At 42.9% G+C, this 17,219-nt stretch overlaps 1 protein-coding gene across 30 annotated transcripts in view, besides 1 other annotated feature; it reads right to left on the bottom strand.

Annotated features, from left to right (window-relative positions):
- Positions 1–17,219, bottom strand: part of PTPRM (protein tyrosine phosphatase receptor type M) — an 839,541-nt gene that overhangs the window by 102,336 nt on the left and 719,986 nt on the right. For 29 of the 30 annotated variants that reach the window (XM_011525708.3, XM_047437715.1, XM_011525712.3 and 26 more), the window contains one exon: positions 8,066–8,153. In XM_011525708.3, coding sequence (XP_011524010.1) covers positions 8,066–8,153 — 88 coding nt within the window. Of the gene's footprint in view, positions 1–8,065; positions 8,154–17,219 lie in introns of those variants that run through there. The other variant, XM_047437721.1, reaches the window with a different exon arrangement.
- Positions 6,845–8,044: an enhancer, noted in NCBI's record as "BRD4-independent group 4 enhancer chr18:8296475-8297674 (GRCh37/hg19 assembly coordinates)". NCBI's record gives its function as "activates an origin of replication core promoter dependent on BRD2, P300/CBP, MED14 and CDK7 cofactors, and independent of BRD4, by STARR-seq in HCT116 cells {active_cell/tissue: HCT116}" and the evidence as "EXISTENCE:reporter gene assay evidence [ECO:0000049][PMID:35650434]".

Raw genomic sequence — 17,219 nt, 5'->3', positions numbered from 1 at the left:
TGCTATTTGTCTCATATCTCTCAAAAAAAGCCTTTACTAGATGAAACAGAGAAAAGCAGATATTTTTGGGTAAGAAACAGGCACATAAAGACCTTGTCACAACAAACCAGTGCTTAGCGTTGAAGAATTATAATCCGCTGAGGTTTTCCCCCCGTGTACATAGGCATGCATTGGACTGGGGTGATGCGAGATTTAGGGCAGGTCTATGCCCCACCCTAAGTCTGTAGAACATGGTATTTCTGCCCTTTCCATCAGGTAACATTACGTTTAAAAATATCTCTAAGTAACTTCAAATATTTTAACACTTCCATATTAAACATGACGGATATTGACAATAGTCATGCAGTTTTAACTTGTGTGTGATTAGATATTCCCACAGCGGCAGAAATAGAGTGTATCACTGATAATCTTTCACCTCTAACCAATTCTTTCTCTCTGCTACATACTGGTGACATATATAAGGTAAATTGGAATCACAATTATCAAGGTAATATTTAGCCTCTGAGAGAAGGCTGGAAATTAATTTTAATTACAATTGATTTCTGCAAATAATGGATTTGCTCCTCCCGTGGCTGCATTTGGGCTGAGGATTGCTGTTGTGCTTGTTTCAAGGTAGGGTCTACAGGAGACCCAGTGTGCCTGCAACTCAGGAAGTGCTTGGCGCCTTACCCGGTGGAGATGCCACCTCCAGTGCAGTCTCCCTGCTTGTTTCCACCCGGTTCCCAGCTCTGCCATGCAGGTTCTGAGCAGGAAGTTTGAGTTCGATGATGGTGGCTCCATATGAATTTTCCTCTTCCTGTTGGTTTCATGTGGGTCTTGCCTTGTTTTCTAACTCTTTTTCTGACTGACTAATCCCTGTGTCAGAGCTCTCTCTTTATTCTTCAGAATCCTGGCAGGGATTTATTTATTCTACCCTATGCCTTCCTAAACATATTGTGTCCATCTGCTTCTCTCTTGCTCGTGCCCACCTGAATTTAATGCCAAAAGCTCGCTCTGCCAGGCCATTCTTACCTAACTATAAACTCTGGTTCCCTTCGTTCAAAGACGCTGTTGGAGTCACTCAATTAGCAGAGAGAAGCACACTGCTATAAAACAAAATGTTAGAAAAGTGAAGCCTTCAATGTGAGCAACCAAGATTGGCTCACTGGCTAGAAGAATCTGGGGTAGGTCCAAAGCTCCAGTCACTGATTAGTCACACCTCGTTGTTAGGAAATGGAGTAGGAGGGCATGGTAACCCACCTCAGAAGGGACCTCGTGTCCTCAGCACTACATCAGAGTCTCTGCTGTACTAGATCTACTAGATCTACCAACAGGACACTAGCAGCACCCCTTCTCTCCATGAGAGTGCTCCCTGCACCGCTGAGCAGTTCTGTCTCAGGACCGCCCATTATTAAAGCCCCTTTAGCTGGGTCTTGGGCTCTCTATGCCCTCCTTGCTCCCTCCACAGATCACCTCCTCCTGCCAATGGCTTCTACCACCACCCATATGACCCATGAAATGGGTCACTGATTTATAATCCAGCCCAGATCCCTCTCTTTCAGATTTCACAGCAGTCTACAGAACTGTCTGCTTGGCATCGCATTTGCATGTTTCAAAAGCATCTCAATATGTCCCCAAATCAAACTCATAAGCTGCTGTTGATCTCATGCCAACCTGAGCTCCTCTCCACAGCTGGTTCCCTTCCAGTATTATCCATCCTGGATAATACTGGAAGGGAATGGCCCATCCATCCTTCCATGTGTCTACCTGTTCAACTGCCCATCATCCATCTAACCATTCATCCTCCAGTAAGTCGGAAACGCAGGAGTCATCTCTGGCTCTTCTGTCTTCCTCACCCTGTCTCCCATCCATCTTTCGGTTGGGTCCATTACTTCTTCTGAATTCATCTACTTATTTTCTTTCTAGCCAACATCATCATCGTGTCACACTCGGGCTACTGGAAATTCCTCAACAGCTGTCCCTTTCGAACCTACTTTCTCTGCAGTCAGATCTAAATTTTCCAATGAAATTTTATTAACACCCCCCCAACCCCTTTAATGAAGTTTCCGTTATTCTTATAATAAAGACAAAAGTCCTCAACCTGCCCCAGAAGGCTCTGTAGGTCTGGCTTCCACCTCCCTCCTTCTCTTGCCCAACCCCTGTCCTTCCAGCTCCAGCCACCCAGCCTTCCTTTAGTTCTTCAGACCCAAGGGGCTCCCCGGCATGACAGGGTCTGTTCACATGAACCCCTCCCAATTCTGCAGCATCCTCCCTGCTCCGTCCCCTCTTGTTCAGTTGTTTTCCATGTCCCATCCTCAGGGAGGCCTTCCCATACCTCCTCACTCAGTCCCCACGTTGTGAGTTCTCATGGTACCATGTTAACTCCTTCTGTGCCCTTAACTTGAATTTTATTTTGTAATCATTTACATCACCCCCTTCTCCCCCACGAAATCTTCCAGGACCATCAGCTTCAGGAGGGCAGGTGCCCTGTCAGCTCTTGCTCCTGTGGTCACCCCAGAGTCCCTGCATCTCCCACCTCTGCCCCTACCCCACTCCCGCTGCTCCGGCAGCACAGCCTTCCCTGCTGTACCGGCCACCTGGGCGGCCACACTCCTCCGTCTTCTCACCTGTTTCAAGTCCTGGTTGGCATCTCATCCCCTCTGGGAGGCTTTTCTTGACCACAGTCTAAAAACATCACCCACCCTGACCAATCTCCATTCCCTGCTTCATTTTCCTTGCTGGGTGCTCACCTCCTAACATGGGTGTTGACACCCTGCACTCAGCAATTGCTCCTGTCTTCCCCACAAGAAGGTGCAGCACGACACCAGCATAGCATCCTGTCTGCTTTGTTCCCTGCTCTCTCGCTGACACCTAGAATAGTGCCTGGTGTATAACAGGCACTCAGCAAATATCTGTTGAAAGAATGACTGTGGTTTGGCACAGTGCCTGGCACATGGCAGATCAATATATACTTGTTGAATAAAGATCAGAAGAGAGGAGGAAGGGAGCCTGGGAAGCTTCTGCAGATTCTGGCTCATTATCTCCAATTGCCAGTCCCTAGAAAGAGGAGCCGGCTGCAAGGGGGCTGCCTCGTTAGCAGGGAGATTTGGTGTGTGCCTTAAGCTTAGAGTTAATTATAATTAGGAACTGTTGAGAGTATTAGGAGGGCTATGCTTGTGTGTGGAGGGGCGGTAATGGTGGGTAGGGTGTTGGTTTATATTTGGAAGGGGCTAGCTCAGCAAATTTATAGTGTAAATAAGGGAAAAGTTAACTTACTTAAGAGCAAAAGCCAATAAACAGTTTTAAGGACCATTAAAACTATTTTATATGCAAACACTGCTGCAAAAACAATGAATGTGATCATTACACCACTTCTGTGTTCTTTGAAAAGCACTAACAAGAATCTCTAAGATATGCTGACTGAATTCCCAATTCCTTATTCTAGTTAGTGGTGTTATCCCAAGTCCGAGGCTCTAGGAAGCAGACTTTACAGGCAGTGGAACTGACTTTTCTACAGTTACATAATTTTTAGGCAGGGGATGGTAATACTATTCACTATGCCCATAAAGAAACAGCCACTATGTACGTGTGAGTCATGATGTATGCGTGGGTCATTATGTGTGTGTGGGTACAGGAAGCAACAGCAAACTAGAGGAAGGGGTAACACGGATACCCAGGGAAGGGCTTCAGGACGCCATGGAAGGTGAGAGGAAGATTAGGAGGCTGGACAGAGAAGTCTCTTTTTGACACTGTCCCTAGAAAGATACAAAAATAACACAACCCAGTAAAGAAACACTAAAAGAGCACTGGAAGGGATGGGATGGAGGGCGGTGGGGGCTAGAAAACGTAGCCCCAGAGGTCATGGGTAAATGACAGCCCACCGCAATGCCCAGAAACAGAAGCCAGAGTCCCGCCTGGGCAGAAGTGGGCCACTGCACATAGACGTGCTCACTAGTAAGGAGCAGGATGGTCCCTGAATTACCTACCAGCTCATCACTTGGATCGGAGACTTCAACATGCTGATTTTTTTTTTTTTTTAATGAAGTAATGAATCTGCTAAACTCAAGATGAGTAACACAGAAGTAATGAAGAAGTGAGATTTTTTTTCAGGTAACAACGATCAATGTTCTTTTAATGTGGCATTTCTGTTCATTTCCACAACACGTGATCTTGTCAGGAAATTCTGACATTGAGAAGGCTCATGACTCACCCAAGGTCATTGAGCCAGTATGTGGTAGGACAAGGACTCCAAACTGTTCCTCCTATCTCCAAACCCTACGACCTTCTCTTTTGCCTGAGAGGTCTTTTCCTGATTAGTCTGCCACTCGTCCACTCACCCTTCTCCTGCAAGTCCCCAGTGGTGTCCTCACAACACATTCTCCATTTATTTATGGACCTGAGATCTATTATTTCATGCATGTCTTATCCTGATCTGGCCACAGACTGCAAATTCATGGTGGTAGGAGGTAGATTTAAACCCATCCCGCCTCTGACAACATTGTGCCAGACACACAAATCACATCTGATACCTCTGTTTGGGGTGCTGAAAAAATTGATCCCAAGTTCAGGGTCCTGAGAGTTGAAAACTATCCTGGTGGTAGAAATGTGCCCTGGGGGGTAAGAAAAAGTTCCCCTTGTGGAATCTGTTCTTCACTAAACCAGGAGTCAGAAAACTACTGTTTGTGGGCCAAAAGTAGCCCACTGTCTGGCTTTCAGAAAAAGTTTCCCTGGAACATAGTCAGACCCATCTGTTTCTGTACTGTCTGTGGCTGCTTTTGCATGAAAACAGCAGAGCCAAGAAGCTGAACTGAGACTGAGATTGGCCTTTAAAGGCTAACACATTTACTACTGGACCCTTTACAGAAAAAAGTTTGCCAACCCCCTGCACTAGACTGTAACTACTAGGAGGGCAGTATCTTGTGTTTTATTATCTTCCTTTTTTTTTGTTTTTTTGAGACCTCTGGAGTCTTGCTCTGTTGCCCAGGCTGGAGTGCAGTGGCATGATCGGCTCACTGCAACCTCCATCTCCCAGGTTCAAGCAATTCTCTTGCCTCAGCCTCCCGAGTAGCTGGGATTACAGGCACATGCCACCATGCCCAGCTAATTTTTGTCTTTTTAGTAGAGGCAGGGTTTCACCATGTTTGCCAGGTTGGTCTCAAGCTCCTGACCTCATGTAATCCACCCGCCTCAGCCTTCATTATCTTTTTATAGCAGTGCCTCCCACAGAGTCTGGCAAAAAGAAAGTGATGAATAAATATTTACTGAATGAAGAGATGGATTATTGGACCCTTTTAAGTACATACTCTCTGTCCAGCTGTGACGAGCAACGGGTACAGGAACAGAATTCAGTGTTCCTGTGACAAGCAGCTGTACACCAAATACCCACACGGGCCAAGTGGAGACAAATGGGCAGGATCTCTGGAGGTTTAAAGGAGAAAACCTGCTTGGAACGTGGTGGGGAGCCTGCAGACGTTTTATAGAAAGGAAACAATCAATACAGGGCCATCCTCATGTTTGCCTGCCTCCGCCTCCTGAGTAGCTGGGACTGCAGGCACGCACCATCACGCCCAACTAATTTTTAAAATTTTTTTGTAGAGACAGAGTCTTGCTTTGTTGCCAAGGCTGGTCTCCAACTCCTGGCCTCAAGCAATCCTCCCACCTCAGCCTCTCAAAGTGCTAAGATTACAAGTATGAGCCACCACACCTGGTGAAAACCAAGCCAGTGGGACCAGTCATCCCAGCACCCATCCAGCAGTGGTTATAAAAGCTGCTCCTGGGTTGGAATCCTGCCTCCATACCTTATTAACCGTGAAACTCTTTAACCCTCTTTATCCCTCAATTGCCTCACCTGTAAAATAGATACAAAAATACTACCTATTTCGTGGTGTTGTTAGTGAGCGGGTTTCGATGTGCAAAGTGCTTAGAGTAGTGTCTGGCATATGTAAGTGCTCAGCAAATGCTAGCTTTTTTCACTCATGATTCAAAAATATATCTCAGTGTCTCCATGAGGAGGTACTAAACTATACATTGGGAAGAAGCAGACTCAATGTTGTATTGGAGAAAGGCTAGCTGGATCTCTCAGCATACCCAAGGCTACACCCCTTGACATTCATTGCATTCTGTATGCTCAGCACGAGGCCACATCAGTGATGCCACAATGATGAGGTTATAGGCTCAGCAATGTCTCTTCCACTTGGTATGGAAGGGGATTCCCCACTTCACTTCCAAGACTCTCTGTGAGTTTGTTGCAGAGCTGAAGGGACTCCTGGAAAGGATGTCATAGCCATCAGGAGAAATCTGAATTCTTCTAACAGCGCAAAGCTTCAGTGGGCTCCCAGAGAAAATGAAGGAACTTGGAAGAGTCTAGATAGACCAAGAAACCATGTTTTCCTTCTCTGAGCCTCTAGAACACTGTGTACCAGGCTGCAACAAAACCCTGTGTCACGGCGCTAGACTACTGCCACAGCGATCTGACTGCCCGGTTGGGTTTGTCCTGGGGACAGGGGCACCATCTCATCTCCATGGCCTTTGCGTCCTCAGTGTCCAGTATCAAGAATGCATCCCACAAGTGTTGATGGGATCCACTGAGGAGTAATCAACCCTAGACCTCAGGACAGCATCTCCTACCTACAAAGGACTGTGACATGACCACTCCAATGCTACTAAATACAGCACGCTCTAAAACCAACCTACAAAACACATGAAGCTAGCATTTATACCTGGCAACACTGGCGATCTGGCTTTCTTGATGGCCGGAGGGAAAGCAGCATGTGCTCAGCTGGGACGTTTTGTGTCATATGTAAGCTCCACTCTACCCCCCAGTTTCTTTTTCTACAACACACTGAAATCTGTGCTGCCCTATGTAGTAGCCACTAGCCTCATGGGCTGTTTAAATTAAAAATAGTTAAAATTAAATACAATTTAAAATTCATGTTGTCAAACTCTTGAACAGCAAAAACAAGAAATAAAGTAAAATTCAGTTTCTCAGTCGTACGGCCATATTCCAAGTACACAGTGCAGCTACTCCTATGTGGCTCATGGCTACCGTCTGGGACAGCATAGACACGAAACATTTCTGCAGTCACAGGAAATTCTGTGGGCAGCACTGGTAGACAATCTGTACTGTCACACTAAGAAATGTGAACTCAGGCAAAGACAGTTTAACAGCACTTTCACAATCAATAAAGCTAATAGATTGCTCCTCTGGAATAACCAAACCTCCCAAGTTTGTTCTCTCGTAAGAAATGAGACACGAGGAGCGAGATGTTCTCTTGGCCTAATCTGCATTGTTGTGTTGCTTTTTAAAATTTATGTATCTTTATAAATAGTATTAATTATGTTAGGCGACTACAGCGGGCCTGTCAGTGCCTTGATGCAGTCATGGATGACGGAGAGCAGTTTAGTGTGGGGGATGGATAGTGCGGGCCCTGGGAGAAGGGGTTTCATCAATCTAGCGCGTGTCTCAGCATTGCTACGCAACATTAATGAGGCTGGGCTCGACTTAGAAACCATCCAAGGCATTACGGGTTGGTAACATTCAGTTTCACAGGCACTGGGAATGTCTAAGCTATAATCCTAGTTCTTTTGCTAATGAGTGTTGTGATATGGGGAGTATCATTTAACTTCTGAGTTTCAGTTTCCTGTCCTTAAAATGGGGCTATTACTGACCTACCTAACCCAGTGTCCACAGGATTAATGAGTTAATGTTTGCTGAGAACTCTGAGCTCTTTGCATTAAGGCAAGCTGTGCATCATTATTTCCATTCATTCTCACGTAGCAGCTGGGAACCATTAGGACTATAATGTTTACTCCATCCAAAATGCATTTTCCTTCTCAGCATCTTAACGTTACCTGTGTTACCCAAACCTTAAATCTAAAAGGAAAACAGGGCCCACGACAACAGTACAATGATGAAGTGGGGGTAGACAGTTATTCCTTTCTTTAGTACGAGCGTTAACACCAGCTGTTCTAGAAGGATGAAGGAGGTAATTGCACTGTAAATTTCCTCTGTATGAGCCTGGTGGTCAATCTTACTAGATGCAAAAAGGAAGTTCTACAACAGCACAATGACACTGTTGACACTTACATGCAATGATATTCCCGTATCTGTTCTTCATTCTGTTCTCATCTTTCTTAGCCGAGTCCCATGGTGCAGACTGCCCTTCAAAGAAGCTCTAGAAGGAAAGTGAGACTGAGAATTACAATTTGGCGCAGTAAACAGAGGGATCTTAACGATGGAGGATGTTCTTAAAAAACGTAGAACAAGGGTCAAGAAGGAAAGAATGCCGACAGAAATGAGACAAGGGATTATTACACTACATTTATATTTTAAATATTTCATTTAGCTTTTTCTAAACTTTGTTTTCCTTTAGTTAGTACCTTACAAACACAGGGATGGAAGCTGAAGAGTGAACCCACAATTTCTCTGTATAACCGAGTAAAAATGGTCACATGTTCATCCCCATCTCAGCTGAATATTTAATACAGAGAAATTAATGTTTCACTCAATTTCTTAATTATATTGTCATTTTTCAATATTCTTGTAAGAGATACAGTGATGTCTTTTTCTCCCTAATTGCTAATTGAAGAAAGGTTATCTTTGGTTAAAACATGAGAGTAGGTAAGCTGAGACTTTATGACTTCCAGGCTAAAATCCTGTAATAAACTCTGCCAAAGTTTTCTCTTCATTTTTAATGGAGTTTAGATGTCCATTTATTTAGGGATTTGGCACTATGATGCCTGGAGTCTTTAATCTTCAGGTTATTCAATTTTTTTTTGTTCAAGTTGTAATGAAAATGTCCCCTACTCTCAGTGGACAAGTAAAATAAAATGTGTGTCTTTATTTCCACTTTAGTTCACACTACATTTTACCTTTATGTGGTCAACTATGTGAGGAGGTTATGGGAAAAGGATGGAAGTGAACAGGATTCAGTAAAGCTATTTCTTGTTTTTGCCACGGTACTCACATACTTCCTGGCACCCACTGGGAAGGAAGAGAGAGGGAAAGAGGAAGAGATGAAGGGTGAGCAGATGAATGAGAGCACCATTTGGGAACGCTTTGGGGCCAGAGAACATGGCATTAGGGACTCGTGTCCTCAGATGTGCTCCAGGGTGGCTTTCAAGTTCTCTCAGTTCTCTCCCAAACAGAAGCTCTTCCTTCCTCCCCGGTCTCCATCTCACCTGTGGTGTTCAGCCGTCTTGGCCATTTCCACCATTTACAATATTTTCAGATTAGTCTGTCGCTAGGTAGAATGTATTTATTCCTTTTTGTGGGTCCAACTCTCCCCCATGAGGTAAACTGTTGCTTAGCACTGCTGCAGTAGGAGACACTGCTCGCAGACGCCACGAGATGTCTGTGCCCCACTCTGCCTGCCTGTGTGCTGCATAGTATTCTGACCACTAAGTGGACAGTGCCTGGCATCCTCTGTTGTTTCTGTGTCTGTCTCTGCCACCAGGCTGTGGACTCCCTGAGAGTGGGAGCTATGTGTTCATCATTTATGTTTGGAATCCAGTAATTAGTTACATAGTTTGTCAAGTCCATGTCTTTTCTGTGGCCTGGTGGATATGGACACTGCTGTTACCATACAACCGAGCTTGCATCAGAGACTGGCTGGAGAAGACCCTAGCCCCAGGTCTGTTCTGCCCTCAGGCTTCAGATCTTGTCCCCTGTACATCCACCCAATAAAACAGTTGAGCAACACCATTTTAAAACACAACACAGAAGACTGAAAAAAATAACACTACAAACCTAAGAGTTAAGAGGTTTAATCTGCTCATCTTAAGGTCCCTTAGTCGTGATCATAGGTAACACTTCATTATCATAATAGTTTTTACCTTATATTTATCATTTCAAAAACATGGTAGGATCAGATGTGCTATATATGAACAGCTGTATTAACAGACTCACACTATGCATCGCTAGTTGAAGAGTGATATGGTTTGGCTGTGTCCCCACCCAAATCTCATCTTCAATTGTAGTTCCCATAATCCCCATGTGTTGTGGGAGGGACCTGGTGGGAGGTAATTGAATCATGGGGGTGGTTACCTCCATGCCATTCTCCTGATAGTGAGTTCTCATGAGATTTGATCGTTTTATAAGCGGCTTTTCCCACCCTTCACTCGGCACTCTTCCTTGCTGTCACGAGGTGAAGAAGGACGTGTTTGCTTCCCCTTCTGCCATGACTGTTAGTTTCCTGAGGCTTCCCCAGCCCTGTGGAGCTGTGCATCAATTAAACCTCTTTCCTTTATAAACTACCTGGTTTTGGGTATTTCTTTTTTCTTTTTTAATTTGAGACAGAGTCTCACCCTGTGACCCAGGCTAGAGTGCAGTGGCACGATCTCAGCTCACTGCAACCTCTGCCTCCTGGGTTCAAATGATTCTTGTACCTCAGCCTCCCGAGTAGCTGGAATTACAGGCATGCACCACCACGCCCAGCTGACTTTTTGTATTTTTAGTACAGATGGGGTTTCACCCTGTTGGCCAGGCTGGTCTCGAACTCCTTACCTCAAGTGATTCACCTGCCTTGGGATTCACCTGCTGGGATTACAGGAGTGAGCCACTGTGCCTAGCCTTGGGTATTTCTTCACAGCAGCATGAGAATGGACTAATATAAAAAGTAAAACCCTGTATGATACAGGGCAAATACAAATAAAAACACTTTCAGGTTATTAATAAATTAACTCAATACAAATACTATCATTAAAAATCGCTAGTTGATTCCATCTAGAACAAGACCTTTATATAATCAGGGGATTTATTCAAACATGTAGCTTCTATTCTGCTACATAACATGCATTTAAAAATAGCTTCAGGGATTTTAAAGTCAGATACTCTTTTTCTGAATACTGTCTTTGTTACTCTATGAATGACAATAATTTTATAGTTGAGTAATAACTACTATTTGACTTCCAAAAATTTAATTCCACTTTGAGTTTGTCATGATTAATTACCAATTTCACTTCCCTCTGCCTTTTCCACCCATCTAAAAAGTTCTCAGATTTTGTTTTTTGTAGGAAGATGGAAGAAGAAAAGTGACTTTGAGACCTTGAAGTCTTCCAGTAAATCCACAGCCTCAACTCATACAGAAAATGCCCCTAGATTCCCTGAGCCTTCACGTGGGGACCCGAGCCACATGAGGGTCCCTGCCCTCTCTGGACACACAGAGGCTCCCTTGTGGGGAATGATGCTCACATCACAGCTGTGTTTCTTCAGCATTTGTGGTTATCACAGGACTGCCAATAGCCCTTGTATTTAAAAATAGTTATTTTAGTTGTATTATTTTCATTTAATTGGTGACCAAGAAACAGACACAAATCAACAAATGAAATAATAACCAATTGTACTGCATTTGAGCACTACAGTTCCCAGAATGTTTTCCTACAGATGGGGCCCAAGTTTTATCCATCTCTGAGCACTTATTATGAGAGCATCAAAAGTATGTGCAGATGAATGAGTCCATCCTCTCACCTGATCCTCACTGGAGGAGAGGACATGAGCTGTCCCTTACAGCTGAGGGACATGAGATGAAGACAGACACCTCAACATCTTCTAACACAACCTAGATCCGAAGTCAGTGTTTTCTGACTCTTTATCCACTGCTTTTTCTCTACCACTCTTACCCCAATGACCTTGAGAAGAAAACACTATTAAGTCAACTTAAATACACATGGCCAACAATTGTTTTCCATGCCAAGATTATCTCTGCTTGTCTCTGAAAGAATGTTTACAACAAAAGAATATTAAAAATGTCACCTAAATTTTAACTATTGATTACTTCTATAAAACAGGAATTTTTCTTCTCATACATGATATGTGTTCATTGCATGGGAGCCACTGCAGGAAAAGTTCAACTTCTTGCAATGAGCCTCCCAACTTCTTATCCAGGAATTACATGAATCACTATAAATGGCAAAATGTGTTTTTTAAAAAACAAAACAAAATTAGAAATGCTCTGAGGAAAAGGTCAGATAACTAGTGCCTCCATAGATAAATGTCACTGTCTCCTGACTCCATACAGATAGGGTGATGGTGTCTTGCATTTTCCGTAAGTGTTCCTTCAATTATATAGCCAATTTCCCCATGGATACATTTGGATTATTAAGACCACGAGTCTTTATCCCTGGCTTAGAAAATAAGTAATAAACCTATGGGAGCCCAGAGAGAAAAGGGAAAGGCTTTCTAGATTGGTTGCCTTGGCTTTTATTTCCTTTTGTTATGGAGATTAAAAATGTTTTTTTCCTAAGATGGATCCAGTTTTGAATGTTATGGCTTTTTTCTAGCATATACGTTCAAGATATCTGAGAAAATATTTACTTTAGACTCCCTCTTATGCCTAAAGTGAGACAAAAACCAATTGTTTAAATTTTTAGTTAGAAAATAAAACTTCATCTGTAGCTCTGGAGCCACTGAATATTCAGAGAAGCCATGATATGGTACGATCTCTCAGACTGTGTGCCCCTGGTTGCTTTCCTGGCTAACAATTCTCAGGGCAAGTACAGTAACTGGGATAGGAACACTGCCGTCAGTGCCTTAGAATACTGCTTCATGTCTAGTTTGCAGCCGGGACTGCCACAGATGTGCAGCTGCAGAGGTGGCAGATACACTTCCTTTATTCTTCCTTCCCTAGAGAGACTGAGGATTCTCTTAACGACCCTGTGAGTCCACCCTCCTTCCTTTTTTTTTTTTTTTGGAAGACCATGAGATGGGCATAATCACTAATAAACACAACAGTAAAATGTGCCTGGGGAAAATCAAATAACATTGGGTTATGTGTAACTTTACTATGCAATTATTCTATTATGTTCCTTTTCACATACTTTTTTACTTTTAAATATCTTTTAATAAATTAAGCAAAGTCAGTGCACATTTTGTAAGATGTTCACCCGTGCATTTTTCTTTGGGCAAGAATAAAAGGTTCTTTAGCTATCTTTTTTATCTTTAAGAGGTCAAAAGTTACACATGTTCTTTTAAAATTACAGAAACTGAATATTGAATGCTTTAAGAAGAATTCTACTCTGAACCAATATTCTTGGGAAGTAATCACCAAATAATTTATATTGTAGAAAAGAAGGGTTCCTCTCAAACTTGTTGAAAGTAAAGCTAATCAGGTTTTGAATCCTCCCAGTGCGACAGAAAAGAACTTTGTTCTTTGGAATAAGGATTTTCGAAGCATATGCCAACGACTGGCTTCTGGTCTCTGGGAGGAAATTTTGCTTATCTTCACCTTGCATCTTTCTATGCCTGAGACAAATCCTTACATTCAAGTTTAAGCACAACCTCCAACTCCTCCTCTAACTCTCACCTCAGAGTCTTCCCTTGTCAGAATTATGTTCAGGCTTGCTAAAATCAAATTCGACCAAAGCTCAGGCATAATTTTGAACAAGAGGCCCAATGAGAGAGAGCAGGAGGGATGGCTGAGGGAACCAAGGCTAAAAGCATCATTTAGCCCCTGAGGACATCCCATCTGCAGAGCAGCAACTTAAGGACAGGTGTGTGAGGCAGGCAATGATGGCCCCTGCTCCCAGCACAAGTTTTATAGGTGGGATTTTGAATATAATATGCACATTTAGGCAATATTTAGTGTTTAGGGCAGATTTTAAATATGCAGGTATAATTTAACACACCAACTATGAACTTCCTATTATGAAAAAAACACTAGATGTATTTTTGGGATTTAAGTTAATGGTCTCACTGCACCTTCTGTTAGAATTTTCATAAATATACTTATGCTTTTATTCTACTTAAAATGTAATTAAAGTGTTTCCTCTGACTACCTTAGCTCATATATACTGCGAAGAGGCAGCAGACCTGGGAACCACTCTGAAAGAGTAATAAGTCTCCAAAACAATAAAAATGAAACCAGGCAAGCTCCAGTGAATACCAATGACTTCCCCACTTGAAGATGCTGTACTCTCCATGGGCACAGAGCAGAAGGAAATTGAACATCCTGCATACTGTCATTTTTTTCTGAATAGGAAACATGTTTTTGTGATTTAATAACCTCCTTCCCCACCCCTCATACCGCCACCATTTTCCACAGGATATAATTATACATCTCAGTTGCCCACCTCAAGAGAACATTACTCCAAAACGATGCAGTCTGTTAAAAATGCCACAACTCCTAGATATTAAAAAAGGAGAAAAAAATCCTATTCAACAGAAAAGCTGCCAGAAAGAAAGGGATGCAGGTCAAGGCCGTACATAATGTGCAGTATGTTTTCAGGCAGTGCAGAGTCAAGTTTTTTAGATGCTTCTGAAATAAAATTTTTCCTCCCTTTCTCATATGAATAAAATTGTGCATGTAAAATGACTAAAATCATCACCCTGAAAGAAGGAAGATGAACTCACTGGGGCATGCAAAGTCTGTGAAATTTCTTTGTTTTCTGCTCAGACTTCTCTTCTGGTGCTTCGAAGCATCGCATTTTATTAGATCCCATATAAACTATTTATTGCTATAGCACTAAAGCAACTGAAGACACCTAACTTTGCCTGATGGGCCACAAGGCAGAGTGCCCCAGAAGTTCAGGCACAGTGATGGCAATGGTCACTGGTCACTGTCATTCTCCAGTGTCCTGAACAAAGGCAGGCAAAAGGAGCATGTGATGCTTCACGGCTAAGAGAGGTGAGGACTGGGTGAAAACAAGAATCTAGACACACGAACTAGGTTTCTAAACAAACCGAAATCTAAATGTGAACATTCACTGATCTTTTAAAGAAGCTGCTAATCTCTGGCCACTTTTTATTGCAACTTAATCCAACGTGAAATTGTGCAGAATTTTTCTGTTTTGCAGGATTCAGAGCAGCCATCATGATCTCGGCAATTGTTATCGTACAATTATCTTCCTTTACCTAATAGCTCTTTCTCTTTTGATAATGGGATTGAGGTTTGCCGCCTATATATATATGTGTGTATATATATATGTGTATATATATATGTGTGTATATATATATGTGTATATATATATGTATATATATATATGTGTATATATATGTATATATATATATGTGTATATATATGTATATATATACATACACACACATATATACATATATGTATATATATACATATGTGTGTATATATATGTATATACATATATACGTATATATACATATATATACGTATATATGTGTATATATATATATACACACACACAATGTTTTCATGCCTATAAACAGTCCCCATGATGTCTGACTGAGCTTTAGAATATGTTTCTTATTCTATTGAATATTACTCTGTATGAGGGATTTTACAAGTGCCTTTTCCACAGCAATGTCATATATTTCCTGTTGATCCATACATGCTTATGAGGTTTGTGAAGCTCTATTGGGGGGTGAGCATTTTAATCCTGTTGTATAGATAAGGAAATTTAGTATGAAAGACATTGAGTGGCTCCCCTGAAATCACACAGCTGGTAAACAGAAGAGCTGGGACCCAAGCCAAGGCCATTCCACTCTGAACTTAGTGCGCCTCCATTTGGCCTCAAAACTGGCTCAGAACCTGTGGCTTTGTGCCTGATGCATTGCACTGTGCATGTGGCACTCTGAAGTCACCCTGGCCATGGGTCTTAAGCCACCAAGGATTTCTGGTTACCACGTTTTATGGAATGAGCCAGTTCAGTGGCACAGTCCTATCACCACCTGCACAGCGATGCTTCCTGGTGATGTGAGTATGAACACCCTGGAGGGCCCCTCAATCAAGTTGCCTTTCTTTCTCTTCAAATTTGCTCCATTTCAAAAGTCCCCTTTCTTCCCACCTTCAGAAGCACTGTGGTAGTCAGCTCCCGCTAATGAAGTGACACAGCCCTCAAGAGCACTGGAGCAGAAATAAGTTGAGAACCATTGATCAAGTGGCAAGAGCAAAAAAACATATCCTTCAAGTGAGTGACAAGGGGAAATAGTCATGGAAACAGTAACTGCGGAGTGTTCACGGCTGCTGAACATTCCTTGGACAAGGCCACTGTTCTGTGGGATTATAGAGACTGACGCAGAATAAGGTGGCTCCAAAAAGGAGATGATTTTGATATAATTGGGGTGAGTGTCAGTAGGGCATTAATTGTAAGAAGCAGACGGTGGGTGTTAGGGGATATTCAACCCTTTCTTGGCCGGCACTACTCTTTTCTTTTGTTCCCTAAAAAACAGTTTAATAACAGAGACCTACATCCTCAGCCATGCCTGGGGCTCCCCCTTATCTGGAATGTCTTCTCGAGGCTGGGTGCCTCTGTCATGTTGCCAATGATGAAGCTCTCAGCTGCATTTCAGGGAGTCCTTGTTTCTTTGGCACCCCCCTTCAGGGGCTCTCAAGGGCTCATCACAAGAATATTTCATCAGTTTGGAAGTCAAAGCCTGCATTTCCAGATTACTTCTTCCTGCAAGACTCTCTGCTGCTTCTTATGGAATGAGGATGGTGTCCTGGAGAAGCTGGACCAAAGGGTTTCTATGTGTTTAGATTTATTACATAAAACTTGGTCAAAGCTGACTTTTTTGAGTTGCCTATCTCTTGATTCCCATGTATATCAATGAGATCAATCTTTGAAGATTCTGGAACTTGGATCTGCCCCTGTTCTCACTGCAGTGCCCTTGCAAACCCAAAGAGGCCATGGTAATTTAATGGGGTGTCAAAATAGTGATGTCAGTGAGCAATCTGTCACAGGTCCCCCAAAGAGGACTGCTCTGTTTTAGAGGCAGCTGAAAGTATCTGTGTTTCTATAAGTCATGCTAGGCTTAGGTCTTGTCTCTAGGATTGTCACCCCAAATTTCAGAGAGACAGTAATTTTCATTTTGCCTCTGATGCAGATATTGCCAGAGTTTGGGAGGTTCACACTACTCAAGAGCTGTAATTTCCTCCACCTCTGCACCTGACTTTGACAGTGAGCCTGTGCAAATGCGCCCAGATCCTTAGAGAGCAGTAAGAATACCTCCTTGGAAAAGGCATCTTGAAAACATCTAGAGAGCAGATGGATGTTTTTGTGGAAATTCAGCTGCTCCCTTCCTTTGGAGAGCAGCCTCCAACCCATCTCTTGCCTGCATTATTGCAGTAGCCTCCTGACTGGTCTCTTTGCCACCCTCCAGTTTATAAACTTGTCCCAGAGTAAGCTGTTATAAACATACCAGGGCAGCTGTCACTTTCCTATTTGAAAACTGAGCAAGTCTCCCTCCTGACACCATGGCCACATGAAGGGCGGTGAGACTCAACATGTGTGACACACCCAGCATGCAGCCAGTGCTCCATCAGGCCACCTGT

This window comes from Homo sapiens, chromosome 18 (genome assembly GCF_000001405.40).
Source record: "Homo sapiens chromosome 18, GRCh38.p14 Primary Assembly".
In the NCBI taxonomy this organism is placed as follows: Eukaryota; Metazoa; Chordata; class Mammalia; order Primates; family Hominidae; genus Homo; species Homo sapiens.
This window is presented reverse-complemented; position numbering and strand designations above follow the sequence as displayed.